The following is a 24,927-nucleotide window of genomic DNA, read 5'->3' as shown; positions in this document are numbered from 1 at the left end:
TATTCCATGTGAACTTGAGGAGAATGTAGGTTTTGCTGCTGTTTGGCAGAGTGTTTGTTAGTTCTAATTGGTCTATAGTGTTATTCAAGTCTGTGTTCTTACTTACCTTATATCTGGTTGTTCCCAAAATAAATTATCATTTGCAACTTATCTTTTCCCAATACATTTATTTTAAACTGTTTTTCTTGTTAATGAGTATTGTACTTATTAGAATGAGGTTGCCACAAGTAGTAGAATAGGAAAGGTAATTCTGGCTTTAAAAAGCTAGAACTTGATTTGTTTTTTCATGTGGAAGTTTGGAGAAAAGCATTTCAGGACTGGTATGGTGCTTCATGGCATCAGGGGCTTAGGCTATTTCTGTGTTAGTTATTGCTCTGGCAAGCATGGCCTCCCACTCCTGGATCACCTTATTGTCTAGGATGACTTCTTCAGCTCCAGTGACACATTCAAGCCAGCAAAAAGAACGAAACGGGGGGAAAAGGGCCTACCTCCTCCATAATGAACACTTTCTGGAAATTGCACACACAACTTTTCCCTACATCTCATTGCTAGAATTTAGTAGCCTGGATATACTTACCTGCAAAAGAGGGTGGGAAAATCATCCCTGTTGGCCCTGTGACCATCCCCAAATCAAAGGCTATGTTACAATAAAAGAGGGAAAAGACGGATATTAAGGGACAACTAGTAGTTCTGTTACAAGTGTAGACCTATAGCAATACATTAATCAGGTATTTATAATTATCCAAGTGTGCTATGGTGTTCTGTTGTACATTTTTATTTATTGTTCTTTTGATAAACATTTATATTGTACCATAATTACTAAAATTATGAACAATATTATGATGAATTTCCATGAACATACACTTTTTATAGTTAATAAGTTACTGTGCTTAGAATATTCCCAGAAATATAATTGCTGAATCAAAATATGCATGTATGCAAGATAAATCTATATATCAAAGCAGTACATGTGGCATGGTGAAGGTGAAAGATTATAAATTTTCTCATGATTAAAATAACAGTCTTCTTCCCCATGTTTCTCTATCTTCGGCACATTGCCCCGATAGATCCAGAAGCAAATTTTCAAAATCAGTTTTTTCATTCTATTGGTCACTTACCACTATTATTCTAGATCACAGGTTCTTAACCATGACTGCATATTAGAATCACCTCAGAAACCATAAAAAAAAAAAAAAAGGCTGATTTCTGGGCTCCATCCCATTTAAAGCATAATTTCTTAAGGTAAGGACTGGGCTTTGCTCTTCTTAAAATAATGTTTTAAGCTGTCCATATGACTCTAATAATGCACAGCAAAGACTGAGAATCACTATTACAGAAACGTGGTATTCAAACTTTAATGTGTTTATAAAATATGTATGGATCTTGTTAAAATGCAGATTCCATTTCAGTGGTTTTGCCAAGATTTGGCTTTTCTAACAAGTGATGTCAATCCTTCTGGTCTGCAGACGACACATTTGAGTATCAAGGCTAGACAATATGTGTATTCTTCTACTTACTTCTTTACTTTAGACAATATGCAGTGACTCCCTGAGATGAAGATAAGGATTTGTTCATTTTAATTATACCCTCCTATTTTCTTTTCTCAATGTTTGTTATGTTATTACTTTTAGCTTTAATATTGATTTGTTTTGTATCTTTAGTTAATATGGCTAAATTCCTGTTTTTTTTCTCCAATTTTGACAGTATTTCTTCATATTTGACCATTCCCTTAAAAGATGAGATCATTGGAGTTCTATTTTTTCTTCCATCTTTCGCCTCAGAAAACTTGTGTTCCACCTCTTGTTTTTTTTCTGCTTTGACTTTTAAGTAATCTAAGTAGTTAACATTTCTGTGCTCTCCTGCAAACACGAATAAATCTTCCATGTTATGTCCTTAGGTTGTCTCTTAAGGAGAAAACTAATAAACTGATTTGGCAGTGTTACAGTTTAATGCATAAACAGATATGTGCCATGCCAAGTGACGCACTAGGCTTCCAGCACCTTCTTTATGAGCACTTGTACAGCAATCTGGGCCACCTAACGAATACTAGTGTGATGGTCCACAGATTCCTTAAAAATCGCAGCATTCAGTTTGCTTGTATTTGACCAAGATTTTCTTGTACATTTTTTTCCCCTGGAATTTCTATAACTTCCCATCCCACCCTTGTTATGTGTTCTTTAGATTTTTCACACTCTAAGGTATATTAGCTGTTCAACAAGCTACAAATTGTCCCAGAAGCCTATCCCCTGGGGATTATTATCCTACTAGTCTCGAGATTGGTCACTCCTTAGGTTGGCCACAACTTGGGAGATCCCTTTACTTTGTCCTGGGTCAGTTCTGTTTACACCGTCCTAGTTTACAGATTCTGCTGGTGAAGAACACTCAGATAGCTTCATAAGAGATGATACACAGGTGGTAAGTGTACTTAGTGCTTGTATCTTTGACATTATAGAGTATTCTAGGTGGAACATAATTTTACTGCAGAACTTCAACCCCTCTCCTTCATGGCTTGTGAGTTTTTTTCTTCCTAAAAGCTTTTGGGTTCTTCTTTTTAAATTATGTTGTCCTGAAACTTCATCACAATGTGGCTAGTGGGAGATCTGTTTTCATTCATCGAGTTGGACATTCGGTGGGCCATTTCAAATGGAAGATTCTTGTCCTTAGCTCTAGTATGTATCTTTTTATTATTTGCTGAAATAATTTTAACACTTTGCCTTTTCTTCTTTCTGGATTTTGTGTTAGTTGAATACAGGCCCTCTCAGTTTCTTCCTCATATTTTCCATCTTTTACTTTTTTGTTTGACATTTTGTTAACCTGCTTTGATGTTTTTTTCCAGCCTCTCTAATAAATTTTAAGTTTTGGAAATTATACTTTAAATCTCTAAGACCTCTTTCTCATTCTCTCATTGTTCTATTTCTTGTTTTGTAGGTGTAATATTTCCTTGAATCTTTTGTTTTTATTCTTTTGTAGAGATGGAGGTGTCTCACCATGTTGCCCAGGCTGGTCTCAAACTCCTGGCCTCAAGCAATCTTCCTGCCTTGGCCTCCCAAAGTGCTGGGATTACAGGCATGAGCTACCACGCCTGGCCTCCTTGAATCTTTTGGAAAACATTTATAAGAATGATTTTTAACTTCTTTTGTGTTACCTAAATAATTTCATCTTACTCCAAAGTTATTTTTCTACTTTGTAAAATTTGTTATTTCTCTTTTTATGTTGCTAGTTCTCTTTACATGCTAGTGATTTCTGACTCTTATTAAGAAGAGTGGACTGAGCTGACGGAGTAGATGTTTCCACTTTTGTGTAAGATTGTTTTCGTAATAGATCTCTTTTTTTTCTTACTGGAATTTGTTGCTGCAATGGGCCAGGCAATGACTGGTAACTTTGATGTAGGATCAGTGGATTGGGAGCTCGCTGTCATGCTGAGTTTCTGCAAATGCCCGAATGATAATGGCTTTTCTTTGAGGCACCTGTAAATTCAGAAATTTTCACTTTTCACAGTTTGCTCAGTTTCTTTAGTAAGGATTCATCATATATTTTGCCTGCAGGTAAACTGTTGGAAGACTTCTCACTGTTGTATACACTGGCAACGAGGCACCGACTGGAAGAATTCTGGGACAGTCAGACCTTGAAGTACTCTCTCTGATTTTATCTTCTGCACTCAGGGCATCTCTGGGATTCCACAGGCAGATTTGTTCTTTTCTTCTGCAGAGCTCTCAGAGTCTATTGTAGGCTGACAATTTCTCTGCCCTTTGCTTCTGTTAAATGGCTCCCACTTAATTTTCATATTCCAGGAATTTTTTAAATGTCTCATCCTTTAGGGATGCACATACGCTACTCTCTCGTCTGCTGTGCCAGACTCTGCTCTTTACCACAGGGAACTGACCCCTGCAAATGACATTTTCTTGCCAACTGGCTTCCAACAGCTTCAGCCATTGGGAAATGCTGGTGGGATATTGAAGAGAGGGAAGAATGACAACGGCAGGATATTTCTTCCATTTCTTTCTGCCTTGGGCAGCCTCTCTTGATGTGGCTACATTTCTTCCATCTCATTTAGACCCCAAACAGCCCCTTAATCCATGGTTCCAGCTCCTGCCAGGCAGTCCTGGATCCTGGGCTCTGGCAATGCCTTCTCCCTTGGTTGCTTCAGCTCTAGTGGTGGTAGTGGGTGTCCCCAATTTATCTGGCTTTTTAGATATTCCTACAACTTCATACATAGTTCCCTGTGTTGAATTCTATTGAACTATTTGACTTAATTTTCCTTACTCAACTCTGAGACATATACATATAAAGGAGTATTCTATTATATATATTCATGTTTAATGCAAAAATCTTGGAAGAAATGGGAGGTTAATGCATGTGTTCTGTCTGCCATCTTGAATTTTAAAAATTTTGAGGATTTTTATTTGTGTTGCCAAATTGCCTACTAGAACATTTGTATCAAGTTAGATTCCCACTAATGGTAGAGTAATATCCAGATCTTGACATTCTCACAGCATAGGATTGGACACTTCTTTTTAATCATCGCATCCAATCTTTATATGGGGATCCAATGAAAAGTTCAAGTTTTCTTGAATTCAGGAGGTGTCATATTTGTGTTGAGGTAACAGCTGGAAATGATCTATGAGGAAACAGAGCCAATAGCACTTGCCCAACTTTCGATTCAAGATGGCTGGCCAAGTTGCTGAGGAGCCCAGAATCCTATGAGAAAGATACAAAAAGCAGCTTTTCCAGTGTCTGCTTTTTCCAGTGTCTGCTTGTGATATCTAAAAGGGAAGAATTATTCTGGCTCTCTAGAAAAGTAAAATTCCCCGAAATAAATAAAGTCATTGCTGAGTTCCAAATTATTAAAGCATGACTCAAAGAAGAGTGTGTCTCACAAAAGACTGAGTCAAAATCAAATCCTAACATCCTTGCTTTCTAGCTTAATAATTCCATGGAAAAGGTTGTCATCTGTCTCCACAGGGCTCTCACATAGATTCCCAACTGGAGAACTAAAGACGGAATAAGAATACTAGAAATAAGAAATTTCAAAAAAAAAAAGGAAGCTGTCTTTCCTCCATCTCAGGAAGTAACATCATAATTGCAGTTCTTACTGAAATCATGTGGAAATATCAATCTGGAGTCCTGATTAGCCACATCTGGGCATGACTCAGTCCATTTTATGGTGGTTTTGCACAATATTTATTTTCACTGCAATGATGCTCTCAGTATTCATCACCTTATCAATTCCAAGTAGTCCTTCCACACACCCAAAAACTCTTCTGTGCCTTCCATGTTTCTTCCACCTGCAAAGAGAGCCCATTGCCATATGCTTTTTCATCAGCTACTTGGCTGTGCTCTAAAGCACATCATTTACATTCTTCACATTTGTTTATTTATAAAATTAGTCTAACTGGTCCTGAAACTTCTATCCACCTCTGAGCAGCAGCTATGATGGTTGAGAGATAAGGATCCTCAGGAGGGCCATTTAGCCAGGGCCTTATATTCACAAAGGGCCTTAGTTGGGTCATTTGTTCTTGCCTTCCAAAAAGGTTATTTTTTTATGTGTTTAAAGCATGATTTTAAGTACTTAAAATGTGCTATAATGTTTGCTATTCTGTTCTGACACTTCTTTCTTCTTCATTTTATTTTAAATCTTCAAGGAAAAAAAATGGAAGTGTCTCAGACCTCTCCACATCTGGGAGGGCCTGGCCCTGTTATTCAGTGAGTTGATTCACATCTCTTTCACTCTCCCTTTGGTCTATGAACAGGTTATTGTGGGATGGAGAAAAGATTTGGTTTTATGAAGTGACGAATTGGCGTTCTGACTAAACCTGAATGTTTTGGTGACTGCTGGGGTGGAACCCAATAATTCTGCCAAGATGGGATTAGCAGCAATGCTACTTCCCCTTGGTGGAGACTGAGGCCAAAATCAAGGTTAAAGAGAAATAAAGAAAAATCAGTGTGCAAATGGACTTCAATTATAATAATCACCAGAAATAGTTTTCAAAGCTTCAAAGCAAGAAAAGTAGAAAACCTCATCAAATACATTAACACACTGTTTGTAATTTGCCTAATGGCTATCTTTGCTGAAGACTCTTCCTAATGAGAGGCATTAAAAGCCAAGGTGATCAACAGATTGGGCCAAATCAGGCACAACAAAATATCCCTGGGGCCTTTTTATTTTATTCACCACAGTCTTCCACATACGGTTTATCAGTATTATTAGTCATTACCTGTTCCTTTGACCCCTCAGGATCAAGAAAAGTTTCACACATTATTTTATAAATAACCACTTATCTTTTTTATAGTAATAAATGTTACACAAATTCACTACTGTATGTTTTACTTTATATCTGGATAATTAAAATTTAATCCAATTAGTCCCTTATTAAGATGGGATATCAAAGCATTTAGTATGACTAACTATTCGGTGTATGCTGTGTTTTTATTTAAACAGAGGTTAACTTTTGGATGTTAATTTGTTTCTTCAGTTCACTAGAGAATCATGAAGGAAATAACTAGCAGGAGTCGACAGTGTATGGCGTGGTGTTCCAAAAAACTGGATGCCTCTTACTCTCTGTAAACTATTTGGCTCAAGCCTACAAACCAATTTGCCCACACAAGACACTACTTCTGTCTTGCCACTTTTAAATGAAGTCTATTTTTCTCTCAACACTTTTTCTTACTGCTCAGCAAATATGTATTTCAACTAAATTCAGTTCTTCAGCAATGGCTGAGGAAAAAGATAACAGTATCATCTTTGTATATTTCCAAGATCAAGTTTTGCTATCTAGTCTCAGCCCTAGGAGAAATGTGAGTGTGTCTCTTCTATATTCCAAGTGATGCCAAAAGGCAAAGTATGTTTGATGGGTAACAAATGGCATCCTCTGTCTTTGGGAAGTAAGGCATATTTTTTCCATTTTTGGCAGCTATCTGGAAATTCAGAGTCTCACAGCACAAAAACAGAGAACTAAAACAAAAAAAATTAAAATGACTCATGTAGATAATATTCACCAAACTAAGAATATAAGGAAAAGAAAGTGTCCACTGTTTCTACAAGCACATCAAAATGTATGATAAATTAGCCCATACAAGGCAAAGGCCTAGTCTTTAGCAGAAGGAAGGGCCCCCTGTCTGACTGTGGCCTTTGACACTGATGAAGCTGTGTTATTTAAGAACTTTTTTGGGAAAAAAAATTCTGGAAAGAACTTCTGCACTGTAGATTAGGCCATGGCTACTGCCTCTGTACAGCTTCCACTTTATCTGTTGCTTAGGCAAGAAGTACGTGCTAGTAGGTCTCATTTTCAAGGAAGATGACTTCCAAAAAAGAGGTTGAATGGTCAGTTTGAGAGCAGAGTTAGGCAGTGAATGATCAAGGATTGGAACGTCAAAGTCAGAGACTCCGGTTCACTTTATCCCCACTTGTGATGCTATCTTCACTTAGCTGAAAAAAAAATGTTGCTGGAATTATCCATCACTGGAGTAGGCATTTGTACTATTTGCAGTCTTTTGGGGAAATGTTTTCAGTGAGCATAAGAAACATTTACTTTTGTTTTGGAGGTCATCGTGGATGGAGTAGGTAAGGCATTAATTTCTTTTGGCAGCCATATCCTGGAGGGGAAGGGAGAGCCAGGATTATCTCACAAATAGAAAGGAGCAGCAAGTTTTACACCCACTGACTTTGAAATGATAGCCAGTGACGTCTGACTGGAGTTGAGCAATGCACTTGAGAACTGTTTTGTCAGCATCTCAAAATGTAATAAACCCCTTGTATGAATGGCTTCTAAGACAATGTGGCATGGGAAAAGTGATGTGCTGCCAGGTTAAAATGTAATGAAAGTTGCATTCCTTTTACTATTCTTCTTCACATTCAAAGACATGGGGCCAGTGCTATGGGTAACTACTTATACACATGTAGCAGAAAGCCTGGTCAGGACTCTGATGACTCCCACTTGCCTACTGTATTAGTCGTTCTCATGCTGCTAATAAAGACATAACTGAGACTAAGTAATTTACAAAGAAAAAGAGGTTTAATTGACTCAGGGTTCCATGTGGCCGAGGAGGCCTCACAATCATGGCAGAAGGCAAAACGCACGTCTCACCTGGCGGTAAACAAGAGTGAATATAAACCAAGCAAAAGGGGAAGCCCCTTATAAAATCATCAGATCTTGTGAGACTTATTCACTACCATGAGAACAGTATCAGGGAAACCACTCCCATGATTTGATCTCCCACTGGGTCCCTCCCACAACACGTGGGAATTATGGGAGCTACAATTTAAAATGAGATTTGGGTCAGGACACAGCCAAATCATATCACCTACTCACCTCATATGGCCATAAAAGTAACCTCTTCTGGGTCCTCTTACAGGATGCTGGGTGATGAATGCCTTTTCCACATTGACAAAAGAGTTTAGGATCACAGGTTAATACTCTCTGCTTCTCACTAATGTATTTGCTTTGTGATAGGGCAGGTCCTCGCAAACTTTGTTTTTGAATAACTTACATGTTTTTTCTGTACCATGAAACCATCAATTATCCATATATTTTTCTTTAAATGGAACCACTTTTTCTATTATTTTAAAAGATTATATCACTACTGTAAACAGATTTACAAACCATATCATTGGACTTAAATAGAAGGTAGCTATTATATACATAGATATACACAATGAATATAAAACAATGCTTTAAAGTTTGGGTAAATACTGTTATCTTCTGCTGAAGACTCCAAAAGTGAGGTGTAGACATTCTCTCTGTTAAAAAAAATAGAGAAAAAGCAAAGGGCAGTGTGAAGAGTGTTAAATACACACCAACACTGAATTAAGATTTTCTTCTTCATGTGATCAGGATTGAAAGACAATTCATAAAGAAGTCAATTTCTCATTATGGAACTCAAAGTGATGATGCTGGGTCAGTGTGCCATCTTTTGTGCTGTCTCACTTTAGAAAGTATTTCAGTGAAGAGTTTTTGGAAAACACGACTATATTCAAAAGAGCATTTCTATTGTTCAGTTAGACAACAGTGAGAAAGAGAAGTTGAGAAAAGAATGGGCCATTGCTTTTCCTCCACAATCAATTTAATTCAACAAGCAATATGAATTCTATGCTCAGATATTTCAATTTATTTATTCTCTTATGGTGAGGAAAAACAAAGGCATTTGAAACAGCTGACTAAAAAGCAATTCAACACTCAATGAAGTGTGCGTGCTAAGGACCTCGACAAATGAGGGTGCACAGGGAGCCTTGAGCTCTTCTGCATGAATAAAGCAAAGAAGGGCAGACGGATTAGAAACAGGAGCCAATGCTGGGTAGAGCTGCCTAGTGGGGCTCAGGGCATGGCAAGCAGAAGGCAAGTGGAAGGAAGGTGAGATTTCCGCCTCCCTTTTTTCACCAAAGGAAGGACTATCAGTGTTCAAAAGAGTAAGAGAAACTCCACTCAGAATCCGAAAGAACTGGTCCCTTGGATGTTCGATTTCATTTTCCAAGGTCTGACTGCCTTGTGCTATTGAGCATGGACTAAGAAGGGCTTTAGCACTCAAGCAGTCTGCAGAAACAAAAAGTGAATAAAACAAGCTTATTCCTTGAAATGTATTGTAAGTGATATTTTTATAATGCAAACAACTATTAAAACATTAAATCAAACTTTTATTTCCCATTTAAATGATCGTCCAGTGGCTTTACACATGTTTTCTAGCAAGTAACAATAGCAATAGCCCCCAGTTTTTTGAGTATGAGGACTGTGTCATGCTAGAAATTATACTTTTAATGTCTGTAGATTGAGAAAATACATTAATGATCAAAGGCTGCTATTAATTTGGTGAAGCAAGTAACTGAATTTGTAAGTTATTCATCACCTCAACTACAGACAGTTTAAAAATAATGTGTGTGTATGACATATTATTTATTTAGTCTCTCCATACTGAATGTGCATATGGATTTACAGACCCCTCACAATAAATTCTGCTACCCCCAGGGGTCCAAGACCTACTGCTTGGGAACCTCGGAGTAGGACAGGCTTATGATTGATGACAATGAGGAGGGCCTGGGGCACATCTGCTAGTCTTCCTTTGCTTTTATCATCACGTCCCTCACACTTTCTTCTTGAAGTTCTGCACTCCACTTTGTTTACTGAAAATATTTTCTGTATAAACTTCTACAAGTTGGTTATGACTTCCCACAGTGCAAACATTTGTCATGCTAAAAAATAAATTGCACTTTGGAAATTTGCACATTTGGGATAAATATCATTTTAAATTCTAGATTCACTAGGTGTTCAACTGTATTTAATAATTTTTTTTTTATTCCTTAACCTGGGAAGTGATTAGATGGTTGATTGATGTATAACTCTTCACAATTTTGTGACTTAAATATTTAATAATGTATTAAAGCAAAAGGATTTCCTGCACCCCAGTGCCAGCTGTTTCCCTTTATGTTGTTATCACAACAGGCCAACAAAATCTACCAATATAGTTATTACTTGCTGCACAAAGCAGAGCTAAGCAACATTGTAAACTTACTTTGCTAGTGCTTTCTGGAATTTTCTTACTTGTCCTAGCACATTTTATCAGAACTTTGATTTAAAATGTGTTTGTGGACTTTTGCCCAATTGTGTTTTCCTTTTTTGTGTGTGTCTGCCTTTTTGGTGACCCTAAGGATAATTCCGACCTTCTTACAAAGGATTTCTTCAATCTTTCATGTGTATGTTCCTGCAGTCAGCCCTTCTCCTTCCTGCATCAACAATGTCTTCCTTTTATCATGGCACAACTTTTTAAGCAACTTGTCTATACATTTGCTGTCTACACACACTCATGTACCAGCCAATTTCAATCCACGTGGCTCTGGTTTCTGTCCCATCACTCCACTGAAAGTGCTCCTGCTGTGGTCATAGACCATCTACCTATGAGTCCACAGTTCACTTCATCCTCAGCTCCCTCACTCTCTCAGATGCATCTGACATGTAGATTGTTTCTTTTAATTTTTAAACATGTTTTCTTGTTTATTTCCATTATACTCACTCATTTATTCAATTTATTCATGTATTCATTCAGGAAGACTTGCTCTGGGTACAAGGAATGGAACAGTAAAAAAGAAAGACTGGGTTCTTGTCTTTATAAACTGACAGTCTGAGATAATCAGAAAAACAAATATGCAGTTAAAATAGAATGTGCTAAGTGTTCTAGTGAGGAAGATATGGTAAAAGAATACTCCCGAGGAATGCCTAATCAGGATTTGGAAAGTCAGTAACAGGTTTCTGAAGAAAGTGACACTGAATCCAAGACTTGTAAAACAAATAGGAATTAGCCAGAGGATGAAGGGAGCTTAGTGAGAAGGGATACTCAAGACAAAGAGAAGAGTGGATGAAAGGGCTTGGAGGCAAAGAAAAAGCACAAGAGCTGAGGTGGATTAGTGTCAATCAGAGTGGATGACAAAGAGGAGAATACTGAAAATGTCACTGGAGTAAGGAGGCACCATATGCTGACAGGCCTTGCAAGATAATTTATGAAGACTGGACTTATTTTACTGAAGGCAGTGGAAAGCAGAGAAGGCAGAAGAATGAAGAATATGGAGATGGAAAGTGACTAAAGCAGGAGAAAGAGTTGGCATGGGGCAGAGTTAGAGGAAGACAGACTTGGTATGTGGCTGTGATGTTGATGCAGGTAACACATGATGGTAATTTTAGTGGGAATAGAGAGAATTCGCTATTACAGAGGAAGAAACGATAGAATTTGAAGATGGATTGGGGGCTGGAATTGGGGTCAATGCTTAGTCATGGAGATGAAAAAGTCAACAATCACAATGAGGTTTCCAACTTTGGTGACCAGGTATTCAGTGATGACACACACCAAGTTGAAGAAGCCCAAGTAGGAACAAGGTAGGCTAAAGGTGGAAGGGAAATTATGAGTTCAGCTGGAGTTTTTAGACATTTCTAAAAAGCAGAAACAACTTGGACAGGCAGTAGGGTACCTGACATGCACTAGCCCTCCTCTGTGTCTTTCAGAGATAAGTAAAGAAATGAGGAAATAATTATGATTTCTCTGTTCCTGGGAACTTTATTGGGAGCATGTCTGATTGAGCCACAATGCAAGATGTGGAGAGGAGGACTGACATGGTTCTGAGGGGATCTACCTTTCTTCCAGGGATGAGGACACTTCCTATGACAGACAGAAGTCACAGCTCAAGATCCACTGCTTGGAGAATTGGAGTATTGGGGAATCTGCAACAAGAATCAAACACTTAGCATCAGAGGTCTTGTGACTACATTGTCTAGTTCTCAATAATATGATTTAAGGGGCCAAAGTCCTCACAGTTGTCAAGGAAAGTTTAGGAGAACTAAGAGCACCTCTGAAATAGCTAATACCTGAGTTTGGGGCTCTTGTCCTCTCTCAGAATCCTGGCAGGGATGTGGCAATATAGTCTAGGTTTGGGTTAGCAAATTAGACCAGGTTGAAATGAGTACAGAAGATTAAATATATGGGAAGAAAAAGACTCATATTTTCAAATCAAAACCACAATGAGATAGCATCTCATACCAGTTAGAATGGCTTTTGTTAAAACATCAAGAAATAACAGATATTGATAAGGCTACAAAGAAAAGGGGACATTTACACACTGATGGTGGGAATGTAAATTAGTCCTGCCACTGTGGAAAGCAGTTTGGAGATTTCTCAAAGAACTAAGAGTTAACTACCATTTGACCCAGCAATCCCATTACTGGGTATATACCCAAAGGAAAGTAAATTATTCCACCAAAAGGACACCTGCACCTGTATGTTCATCACAGCTCTCTATTCACAATACCAAAGACATGGCATCAACCCAGGTGCCCATCAATAGTGGATTGGATAAAGAAAATGTGGTACATATACACCGTGGAATACTATGCAGCCATAAAACAGAATGAAATCAGGTTCTTTGCAGCAATCTGAATGCAGCTGGAGGCCATTATCCTAAGCAAACAATGCAGAAACAGAAAACCAAATACCACATGTTCTCACTTAGAAGTGGGAGCTAAACATTGGGTACACAGGGACACAAGACGGGAACAATAGATACTGTGAACTACTAGACGGGGGAGGGAGAGATGGAGGTAAGAGTTGAAAAACTGTCTATTGGGTATTATGCTCAATACCAGGGTGACAGGCTCAGTCATACCCTAAACCTCAGCATCTCGCAAAATTCCTCTGTAACAATCCTGCCCATGCGCCCTCTGATTCTATGATAAAAGCTTAAAAAGAAAACAAAGAAAGTAAAATGCTTTCTCTTGTGTATTTTAACGGTGTATCCCATTTGCAGTGAAGGTCCCGTTTCTTGCAAGATCATTGCTTTTGCAATCCTATCTAGAGTACTATGTAAAAAGGAATCTTGAAAAAATGAGGAACTGGATTTTACTCACTTCTAAGAAGTTATGCAAGTTGCTACATATTTGCTTAATGCTAGTAACGTTTCTAATACCTCTAGTTGAAATATTGTGCCTTGCTGTGCTATTAGAGAGACAAAAATAAAAGAATTTCAATATTGTGGTCAAAAGGGGCCATTTTTCTGTTTTCAGTATGAGTTTTCTGGTTAATATTCCCTGTTACCTATCATCTACCAAGTTCTATGTCTCTATCCATTCTAATGTCTTATACACTAACACAGCCTGCCTTGTCAAAAGGCTATTAACACACCATTAATGGAGTGTATTTCTCTTTAGGATGTCTGTAAGGACTTCCCAGAAATTATATTTAGTATATCGTAAGGGTTGAAATCCTTTCTGCAAATGAGTAAACTTTTTGCAAATTAAGGACTATCGTAGGATCTACAAGAATTAGAGCTCGCTGATGACCCACAGTTTTTGTAAGCAGAGCACAGCCAACTTCCCAATAGTGCCTTGCACCAGGGGAGCCCACTCCCTTCTGCTGTATTAGTCATCGTTAGCCACACCAGGGAGTGATTTAACCCAGTTTACAAAAAAGCAGTTGTTCTGTTACCCTTGGGAGAGCGGTTAGTTAGTCACCAGCACCAGGTTTTGTTGCCTTGGGCATCACACCACACTCATCCTTCCCCTCCTAACAGTTTTAGGCTAGGATAGAAGTGACAGCAGATGAACGTGAACAACCCCTCACACTTCACATGGGCCATTCTTGTGCACCAGGCCCTGTGCTCATTGCCATTTCATGTCATCTCCTTTAGTCCTCAGCACCACCTGGGATGATTGACTGCATTTTGGAGATGACGAAACTGTAGTTCAGGGAGAGAAAGACGCTTTCCAAGGGTCACCCTGAACTGGGGTTTGAACTCAATTCTTTGACTCTTAAGTGTATTCTCTTAATCAATAGCTTGCAAAATTAATTTTGTTTACAAAACATAAGGGAACACAACTACAGAATCCTACCCAATCACAGCAACTCCTTTTTTTTTTTTCTTATTGGGGTTCAGTGTAGAGATCATTGAAATAAGCATCCACAGCCTGTTTTAAAAACAGTGTGAAGCACTTGCATCAGCTGTGTTTTCTCCATACAGCATCTGAACCAGTTCCACACCTGTGTATGGTATACAGAGCTGCCTATGTTGTACACTTGAGGGCCACTAAAATATTGACTAAAAGAGGCCAGGTGCAGTGGCTCATGCCTGTAATCCCAGCACTTTGGGAGGCCGAGGTGGGTGGATCACTTGAGGTCAGGAGTTCAAGACCAGCCTGGCCAACATAGTGAAACCCCATCTCAACTAAAAAAAAAAAAAAAAATTAGCTGGGTATGGTGGTGGGCTCCTGTAATCCCAGCCTCTCCCATCTTCTCCACTGGATTCAGAATATGAAGATCACTGGAGAGCTTGATAAGGACTTATTTAAGTGACAGCCTGGTTTCCACTGTGCTGTGTGTATGTCAAGTTTCAAGAGAAAGCTTGATGCCCACTTTTGGGATGAGGCAGTATGGTGGCAGTGGCAGCAGCCTGAGGAAGCTCTTTCAGGGAGCTTGAGAAGTGAGCAGAGTGGCCCGTGCAAGGAGCAGAGGCCTAAGGTCTGAGCCAGATGGCTGGCTGACACAGTAAACGATGAGCAGGATGGGTTTGTAAAGAGAAGAACACAACAGTCACATAGGGTGAAGGCTAAGGTTTTATTTTGAATATTTAAAATTAATGTGATTTTATTTTCAGCCTCACATTGGTGGGGCTTGGACATATGATTTGCACATAGACATGTAATATGTGAACACTATCAATGCTAAGAGAGTCTGATGTTGTACTTTAGACAACCTCTCAAGTGAGATTTAGTAAAGGGTTTGTTGTACTAGAATTGTAATGAGTCCAATCAACAAAGCTTTCTATGACTTATTGCTCTTGTAATCATCATGATACTGATTTAATCAGTAATGTAGATTTAGATCATTAATTCAAAAAATATCGATTGAGAATCTACTGTGTACCCAACATCGTTCTAGGCAACAAAGTTGTAGGAGAGAACAAAACAGACTAAATCCCTGTTCTAATCCTGTTTAAAATCTGGTGAGAACAGATGGCCAAAAAAACAAATAAACACAATATATAGTATGCTAGGTCTAATAGGTGGTGTGGAAAATAACTAATCGGGGCAAGGAAAATACTTCTGTGATAGGTAGTAGTAGGAGGGTGCTGTTTTACATAGGGTGGTCTGGGAAGGCCTCCCTGATAACGTGAAAAAAGCAAGGAAGCAACTCTGTGGGTATCTAAGGGAAAGCTTTCCTGCTAGGAAACACAGCATGTTCAAAAGCAGGAGTGGTTTGGTTTGTTCAAAGTATGGCAATGACATGAGTGTGGCTGAAGCAAAAAGAGGGGAAAACAGGGCAGGGTAGTGGATACAACCAGAGAAATGGAGTGGTAGAGGATTATTCTCAGAGTCTTGTAAGCCACAGTAAAGCTCTTGGCTTTTACTTGAGTGTGCCAAGAAGGCATGGAAAAGCTTTGAGCAGAGAAGGAATATGAATCCAACATCTTAAAATGGTCACTGCCTCCTATTTGAAGAGTTGTAGGGTGACTAGTTGGGATGCTATTGAAATAACCCAGTTGAAATAGGATACTAACTTGTTTTAGCTCAAGTTGATAGAAAAAAAATTTAATTCTGGGTGTATTTTTCTTATGAATTGGATGTAGGTTGGGAGAGACATAGATGAATCAAGGATCCGTCTTGTTTTGTTCTGCTGTAAGAGAACACCACAGCGTAGGGGATCTACAATGAACTGAATTTATTTGGCTCATGGTTCTGGAGGTTGGGAAGTCCAAGATTTCATGAGTGAATAGGAAATGTGCCTATAGCACAGTTCAGTTTGAATAATGATTTGGAGATTTAGAGATATTTGAAGTCTAGAATTATTCATTAATGATGTATAATACTCACCTATGTATAAATAAGTCAACTCAGTAAGAGTTAATGGGGCTGTTAAAAAGGGACTCATTGAAGATGGCATACTTCTCTCTATTGCCTGATGAAGGTATATCACCAGTGGTTACTAGGGGGCATAAGCTGAAGGAGGGGAAAATTGATTCCTGTAAGAAGAACAGGTTTGCACAGTTTCAGTCCGTCACTATTTGGGATCCCTTTTAGAAAAGTGACAAACTCTATTTTATAATTTTGAAAACCAAGGGAAGACATAGTATATCTATTGTCACCAAGTCTCCAAGAATGAAGCTATCGGAAAGATCATCTTAATTATTTATTTACTGAAGTTGTAATTGGTCTGAAGAAATCCATTTGCTCAGTTTTACTCTGCTCATATTTTTGTTCTTGCCTTGGCACTTTTAGAGACTATTTCCTAATAATGAAATTTGTAATGAATCTAGGGGATGATTTTTATTGTTCTTGCTGGGCACATTTCTCTAACTTGTGTATTATCTGCCAAAAATTGAATGGTATCTCTGAAAATGAAAGCCAGGCACAAAGGGGATTGTTTTCAGCTTTCACGAAGGGCTGTATAACCGTATGTGTCTCACCCTTCTGGGACTAAAGACATCACGCTTTCCCATGACCCAAAGTGGAAAATCATTCCACTATTCTTGGGGCAGTGTGGAACACTCACCATGTGAAGCAGTCGTAAAACATTTTACTTGTTTTATCTTTCTTTTTCCTCTTGCTATTTCCCTTTATTTTGGCAAAAGGTGAGAAGTGATGACCGAAATTAAGCATTTCCACATCTAATTCCCAGATTCTAGGACACAAGTTTTCCCTTCCTACTTAAAAAATACCACCCTCCAGAAGTTACCCAGAGAGTCCACTGAAGATGGATGTCCATCAGTTATAGCGTGGTCTGAAACAATTTATTTGAATGGGGCTTTCCAGGGCCTTTTGAGCAGATCAGTCATATGAAGCAAATTTACAGTACAGTAAGTGGTGTTTCCTGAGGTAACGGAACTCCCATCGAATGGCCTCTGAGTGCAACTCTCAGGAGCTGTAATGCTTCTTGCACACAGCCCTGCAAATGAGCAGTGCAGATTTTACCAAATAAACCGCCCTCTGCATACAGGGTTCTAGAAGCCTATGGCAAGCCATTCTAACAAAATTGTTTTCACTTCTCTTCACCTCTTTCTAAACTTATACTCCTGGGTTTTTTGTTAATATTTAAAAAAAGATATTTAAAACTGCACTTCAGCCACCTTGTAAAATGAAAGAGTACATTGTACAGGCACCAAAGGTGCACATGAATGCTTTTATCAAAGTCAGCGTCCTGCTTTGGGACACTAATTGGAACCATGTGTTGAAAATGCAAGACAGGATTTTCGGCTGTTCTTTAATTAAGTGTAATGAAGACTCAACCGTGTTTTTCTTTATAAGGAACGGCTGCTGTAGGTGTCCTCTTCATAGGACTGATGGGTGACCCCAAGTGGGGATGCTGCCACCTGTTTCAGGGCTTCAGGGACATTGGTAGTCATTTTAATATTTAAGACATTCTCAATGATTCTATGATGCTATTCAGCCACATGCATAGATGGCCTGGTTGCAAGTGCTCTCCTGATAAGGAGAGGAAGGGAAGTGAAAGAAAATCTGATTATTTTCAAGTGTACTGGAAGACTGACTCATAAAAGATTTTTTTTTAGTATTCTTATAAAGTTCAGTTATTGCAAAAATCATCAGGGAGGTGGAAAAAGTATCTCCTCATTCATTTTTCCATTAAAATCTGTGGAGAAATAGTGGCTAACATGTTAAAAATATTAGCCACTATTTCTCCAGAGTCTATTAGAAAGACAATGAGAAATACTGTCTCAAATTTTCTGTTGAAACTTGAAAACAAAATATAATTTGATTTTTTTTAAAAAGTGCTATTTCTGCCACTTTGTTCTTGGGCAAAAAGGATATTCTATAGCTCTTAGTTGTCCTGGGATCAAAATCCCAGGGAATAAAAGGTTAGTTCACAATGTCTCCTTTCAGGATTTAAGCCCCTCTTTCACAATGCTTTGTGTTATTTAACATTCATTGAATGGTACCAGTGTATTGAACCCCACTCCCCTCAAACCTCCACATGGACTGGATCCAGATCTGGTACCTTTGTACAAAATGCTGAAGCCTTAAGAAAGAAATGTGAACACTGCTTCTAACAGCATAGTTGCACCTACAGACTCCAGAAAGAGGTGCAAAGAGAAGCGAATTAATGACGACAGTGACAGCAATTACTTTCAAGGTATACAGGAGCAGCATTCTGCAGGAAATAAAGATGTCAAAGCAGGGTTGGGAATGTTCAAAAAAGGAAGTCAATTCCACAAGAGGCTTAAAAACATTCTCTCCAAATCACTTCTAAAGAAAATGATAAAACCACTTCTGCTTATATCAAAGCCCAAGGGCCAAGTACTAGAAAGAGTCTCTCTTGGTTGTGGGCAGGTTAGGCGTCACTCTGCCAGTAGTCTCTCAACTTCCAAAGACTGTTTGCAACATTTCATTTATGGATGCTCCTTTGTATGAAGTGGAGTTTGACAGTTTCCCAGGCAGGCTGGGAATAGCATCGGCGGATTACACAGTCAGCAAAGAAATAGGAGAGTCTGAGTGCGTGTGGTTGTGCCTTCACGTTACCTTCAAACCTCCCTTTCAAAAGCACAAATCTAATCAGCTTGTCCCTTTACTGCCCTTAAGATCCTTTCACAGATGCTTATTCAGGTTAAAATGTAAATTCTTATTGCCAAATTCAAGACTCTTAGTGGGTAGCCTACCCTATCTTCTCAGCCCTGGGGTTCACTCCTGCCACAAGATACTGATCAGGCCACACTCTCTTCCTCTGTGCCTCACAAGTGGCTGAGAGTACCTAAGCCTCCTGGAAAACCCTGGGTCTTCCCTGAAGTTCAGCTCAAACTTCATCTATCTCCTTCTCAAATTTTCCTTGGGCATGGCCGCTTCTCCCAGTGGAATAAGAGCAGGCTGATTCTCCTTTGTGCCTCTGAGCATCCTGGGCACATCTCTCTTACAGCACTTACCACGTATCTTGATTGTCTGTTTACACGTCTGCCTCCTTCCTTTGTCTAGACTTTCAAAAACCTGGAAGCCAAAAGTGATGTCTTCATTTTAATATCCCCAGTGCCTAGCAGCGTGCCTGGCACAAAGTGTTCAATAAATGGGTGAACACACATACATACACTTTAGGACTTGTGTTCTTCTAACCACAGTTGGTAACTTTGTGTATAACCTCAAGGCCTCATGTTCTTGCATTTAGTCCAAATTTTAAGTTCTTGAAATAAATAAGATTATTGATACAGAGAATAATAAAAGTGAAATAATACATTGGTTTGCCATCATCAAAAACCCCTAACTTAATATTTGCTGATTGTAGGAAATCGTGAAAGTTACTGGTATCTTGTATGATAGGTTAGGACAATAACAGAAAACTTAAACCAAGAGAGAAATGATTTTCAGAAATGGCAGTATTTGGTATAAAATTCCTCAAGAAAACACTAGTGTTTGTTTTATTATATACTTTTTTCTTCTTTTACTCAAATGCCACAAGTCTTGCAACATAAAATTATTGTTAAATACACATAGCCTTTGGTAATAAATTGTTGCAAATGAAAAGCTATCTCCAAGTCAGACGTAACCACACTGTGAAATTCCAAATTCTAAGGAAAGACAACCAGTTGTGGTCACTATAGAAGAATTCCAATTTTATCTTTTGGGGGAGAATACAAATAAATCAATATGTGAATACATGAACATACCTAAAACAATGAGATAGTTTTTTTTTTTTTTTTTTTTTTTTGCCTAAATAGCACTTGGACAGACAATGTTTTCCTCTAAAATTCTTCGCTTCTTATACTTTAATCACAAATTCTCCTTAATTTTGATAATCATATTACTTCACTAGATAGGTCAATACCTTAATCAGGTCTTGCTTTGCCTGGAAGTCATGCCATCTTTAACATGACATTGCAAGTGTGATGAGGGAGTAAAAAGTATTAACATTTAGTACTAGGGAAAATGTGTTACATAAAAACATGTTACATGACTATTTGATAAAAAGAGATGAGCAAAAGAAAGAGGCAGCTAAGTTGCTTTGCATGAGAAGGTAACAGGAATTGTGGGAAAGCAGAGAGGAGAGGGGAAGGAGGGACAGAGGGAAGGAATAGATAACATGGCAGGAGTCTGGACTCTATGGATATATGTTGTCAATAGGAAATTCTTGTAAAGAGTTAGAAGACTTTAAAGAATAGAGTTGACCAGCCTGGCCAACCTGGTGAAACCCCATCTCTACTAAAAATACAAAAATTAGCTGGGCATGGTGGCAGATGCCTATAATTCCAGCTACTAGGGTGGCTGAGGCAGGAGAACCTCTTGAACCAGGAGACAGAGGTTGCAGTGAGCTGTGATCATGGCATTGCACTCCAGCCTGGGCAACAGAGCAAAACTCTATCTCCAAGAAAAAAAAAAAAAGAAAAATAAAAAAGAATAGAGTTATGGTAAAAATCAAATATAAATTGCTGGCTTTCTTTGGGATAAACAGCTTTCTCTGACCCAAACTTTTAATAAGTTCTGCTACACACAGAAAGTTGTCATGGAAATGAAAGAAAGGGAGATAAGTTCCATGATGGCTCAGCACAGAGCTGACAAAGAAGAAAGTAAGGGTTGTCAAAACATGAATGAGGCTCAGAATCCTGTAGAAGCAGGAATTCACAGCAGAAGTGGCTATGAAAATATATCCTACAGAAACTCATAAAAATCTTTAGGACAGCATCAGACTTAGGAAGGTCCAAGGATAGGGTGTTTGAAAGAAAGGATCACTTTAGTGGATAATCTGGTTATACATAACTCTTGCAGATCCATTCTGTGTTGATTTTATAGTATGATAGTAACAAAAGAGCTTCCACATATTCCTCACTTACTGTGCACCAGGTACTGTGCTGCTTTATGTGCATCATCTTATTTCTCATTGTATGCATAAGAAAACTCAAGTTCAGAGAAAATAAGTAAGTCACACAGTCAATAGCTGTCAGAAGCATGGTAGAAACTTGGCTTGATCTGGTCCCCAAACCCACATTCCTAATTCCTATTTATTTTATTACCAGGTTCCAGCCAGAAAATACCTGATTTCTGTTTCATGAATATACTAGAAGCTACTACAAATGTTGTAAAATTGTTATTCCATATAAGTATTAGTCAGTTATTGTCAAAACACTGCTATGTAACTAACTATCCCAAAGCTCAGTGGCTTTTGGTAGCAAGCATTACTCATGGTCACAGGATAGCATGGTTGACTGTGGTTCAGCTTATCTAGACTGGGCTCAGCTGGACGGCTCTTCTAAAGGTTTCAGGGGAGTGGGCGTGGCTCCAGCATGTGAATCAGGTTCTGTTCTGCTCTGTAACTCTTCAGAAGCCCAGGTGGGAGAGGCAGCAGCTACTTGTGGCATGTTCTCCTCATAGCAGAGATTTGACTCTCCCAAAGGGCAAGCAGAAGCATGTAATGCCTCTTTAGTTCAAGGCTCAAAACTGGCATATTGTTATTTCATTCACATTTTATTGGCCAAAGCAAGTTAATGGATTTTGGCATTAAAGAGCAAATATTCATGAGAATCATTTAATCTTTGGTAGTAATATAATTACACCACTGTAAACTTAGTTCCTCAGAGAAATATACTGTATTATACCTCTTTCAGCAGACAGAAACAGGTTGTTTCTAATATCAGTAGGTGTTTCTGAAAAATTTCACCTGGTTGAATTTCCCTAATTATTTGCAAAGTATAATGATGAAACCATCACCTTTAAGCATACATCTCCCATCATCACTACAATCATCTTGTCCCAGTAGATTATCTAGAACTCTACTAAGGACTTCAAACACATCTTATATGAGAGAGTGACAGAGAGAACTCCTTGTCGTAACATAAAAATGCTATAACTCTGAAGTAGTCTCTTGACTATTTGATAAGATGAAGTAAAATAGGTTGCTTTGTATTGTCTCAAGGATTAATATACGTATTATTCTACCAATGGTGGCCATCTTTGTGAAGTTCTTCGTATTTGACATTTCTTATTTATAAAATATATAGTACTATGCTGTTGCCGAAGATCACAGACATTTCACTCTATTACTAAAATCTGTCAGTGATTAGAAGATACATCTAATGTAGATAAGACCATAGCTGCATGTAATGGCATTTTAATAAACTTAAACATTTATATTAGGAAAATTACACATATTTAATTATAAAATTGATTTTATTTTCCTATCATATCGAGAAGTTTAATTGTCTCTACCAGTATTGATTGAAGGTCTTCTGAAATATTCTTTTAATGGTAGTGTTAACTTGCGACAAACTTGTTAATTGAAGCTAATGGAAATTAATTGAAATCTTCTCTGGAGAATGTATTCTGTTTCCTTATTAATTAGGTAATTTCTTGTTTGTTTCAAAGAACCATTCGACTAATAAAACATCAGAAAAGGAGGCAGTGATTTCTAAGGATATGTGTATATCAGAATTGGTCCAGAAATATATAAGGATGAAGGCCACTCCAGGCACTGGCTACTTCCCCTGTCGGTCCCCAGGGTGCTCTGCTTCTGTGTGCAAATTTGCTCATTTCTCTCTTCTAACAGCATTCTCTGGTAATTTATAGATTGGCTTCTTCAGCAAACCCAAGTTCAGCCAGGCCAAGAACTCAAGTTAGCCAGAACATTTCTTCCCCTGATCTAATCAACTCTGGCTAGGGGTGGGAAGTGGGGCAGGGTCATGTGGTATAAAGCATGGGTACTGTATTGGGCTCTTCTGTACGCTACTTCAAACTCCTCTGAGCCCTATATCAATAGCAGCCATTCCTTTGGCACTCAGTTCCAGGTAGTCTTTCCCCTACTATAAGTAGGTGTAACTGGCACCCCTGCTTCTCTTGTTTCCTGCCCTGGGGCTTCTCTGAGACTGCAGCGTGGGTCATTTGCAAGACCTGGTGTGTATTCACACATGGGAAACCCGAAGTAGGGAGAACAATGTTTCCAGGCTACCCTTGACCACTAGGAAACAGCAAGTGATGGATAAAGGCTTTTCCTTTTCACCCCTGCATATACAGTTCCGAGAAAACTTTCAAAAGGTTCCTTGGAAGATCCTGGTGGGATGAAGCATATGTCATCAACAGGGTGGCCATCTTGATAAGGCATCCTTGCAGTCGCTTCTCCGCCTTTCCTGTTTTATGCTTACTGTCCCACCACATTGCTTTTATATATGCCCTTGTCTCTGGCCCAGTTTTTGGAGGAATGCAAGGAAAGACAGATTCCTAGAAGGGTCTTGTATGAACAGGTTTTATAGAAATTGTTTAATCCACCTATATTAATTTGACTAGTTATGTTATTTCTAAGATTGCAGTTAAGTCAGAGATTTTCTCTAAATCAAAAGTAAGTTGTTCAAGACTGGTCTATATTCCATTTACTGGAACAGCGGCTACCAAAATTGCTCCTGCCCTTAAAAGAAAATTCAGTATCAAGATGGGTGCAGGGCTCTAATCTCTCTTTACTTCCCTGCAGAACCAAGAGCCTTTAGGGGCATTGAGACTCTCATTTAGAAAGTTTAGCTGCTTGTGAGATTGTGAAATGAGAGTTTTAAATGAAAGCCCTTTGAAAGAGGGAAGAAAAATTAACATAAAATTCATATTGAATTTTATTTAAATAGAGGAGAGGAAAAGAAAAAAAAGAGGAAAATAGCAGCTAAATGAGAAGATATGTGGATATATGAAAGAAAGAACCTGAGTTTAATGTAAGCTGGAGAGTGTTTTTGAGCAGATAAGAAAGGGAGTTGGGAGTCAGGAACAGCGATGGTGGATGGTCAGTTAATGAAGCAACCATAAAATGCTTGCTCTAATGCATTTCTCAAGGTATCCATTTCCAGTAATCAAGATACGGAGAAAACCACTTTAGGTTAGTTCATAGAACACTTACAAATGAAGTCTACCTTCCCGAAAAGCGTTTATTAGAAGCTGTCAGATCAGTAGTGAAAATGTTAAATTCAGACAATAGCTACAAATGGATGCATGAATAGTTCTTTTGTTACTATATCATTTTCCCTCACAAAATCATTGAAATGAATACAAAATGTAACTACCTATTTTTGGGATTTCTTGTCTTATAAGTAAATTCGTGAGGCCTTTGTGAATTTAGATGTCAGCTAGTTTCACTTTTATTAAAAATTGATTCTATAAATAATACTGAGTGCAAGAATGACAGAGACATGAAAAGGCAAGGGTTGCTTGCTTCTCCGGGGCAGCTCTATCAAGAGACCTCTTGTTTGGCTTTCCTTTCCAATTTCCGGACACCCAGGAAGGGCCCTATGACCTTCGATTTTTTGGCAGCTCATACCTTCCCAAGGAAGTGCCAGTTAGAACTGCAGAGCTCAATTCTTGTCATGTCTTCTTGACATAACGTCGCTCACTGTTCACACTACTAAAATACCTTTGGCCAACATTGCTTCTGGAATACCTTGTAACTTGTCTCCTTCATTCCAATGATTCACAGTGACAAATTTAGGCATTAATGCCATGTACC

General features: G+C 38.5%; 1 protein-coding gene across 2 annotated transcripts in view, besides 2 other annotated features; it reads right to left on the bottom strand.

The window, feature by feature from the left end:
- Nucleotides 3,147-3,840: an enhancer, noted in NCBI's record as "OCT4-NANOG hESC enhancer chr5:82674443-82675136 (GRCh37/hg19 assembly coordinates)". NCBI's record gives its function as "activates a minimal SCP1, AML or CMV promoter by ChIP-STARR-seq in primed H9 embryonic stem cells {active_cell/tissue: H9 hESC(primed)}" and the evidence as "EXISTENCE:reporter gene assay evidence [ECO:0000049][PMID:30033119]".
- Nucleotides 7,991-24,927, bottom strand: part of XRCC4 (X-ray repair cross complementing 4) — a 296,927-nt gene continuing 279,990 nt past the window's right edge. For both annotated transcript variants that reach the window (XM_047417695.1, XM_017009827.3), the window contains exons 8-9: nt 12,110-12,197; nt 7,991-8,737 (exon numbers count right to left, since the gene is read on the bottom strand). In XM_047417695.1, coding sequence (XP_047273651.1) covers nt 12,152-12,197 — 46 coding nt within the window. In that variant the 3' untranslated portion in view covers nt 7,991-8,737; nt 12,110-12,151. The remainder of the gene's footprint in view (nt 8,738-12,109; nt 12,198-24,927) is intronic.
- Nucleotides 13,897-13,996: a silencer, noted in NCBI's record as "silent region_16152". NCBI's record gives its function as "represses an Ori minimal core promoter by ATAC-STARR-seq in GM12878 lymphoblastoid cells {active_cell/tissue: GM12878}" and the evidence as "EXISTENCE:reporter gene assay evidence [ECO:0000049][PMID:35858748]".

Source organism: Homo sapiens, chromosome 5 (assembly GCF_000001405.40).
Source record: "Homo sapiens chromosome 5, GRCh38.p14 Primary Assembly".
Taxonomy (NCBI): domain Eukaryota; kingdom Metazoa; phylum Chordata; class Mammalia; order Primates; family Hominidae; genus Homo; species Homo sapiens.
This window is presented reverse-complemented; position numbering and strand designations above follow the sequence as displayed.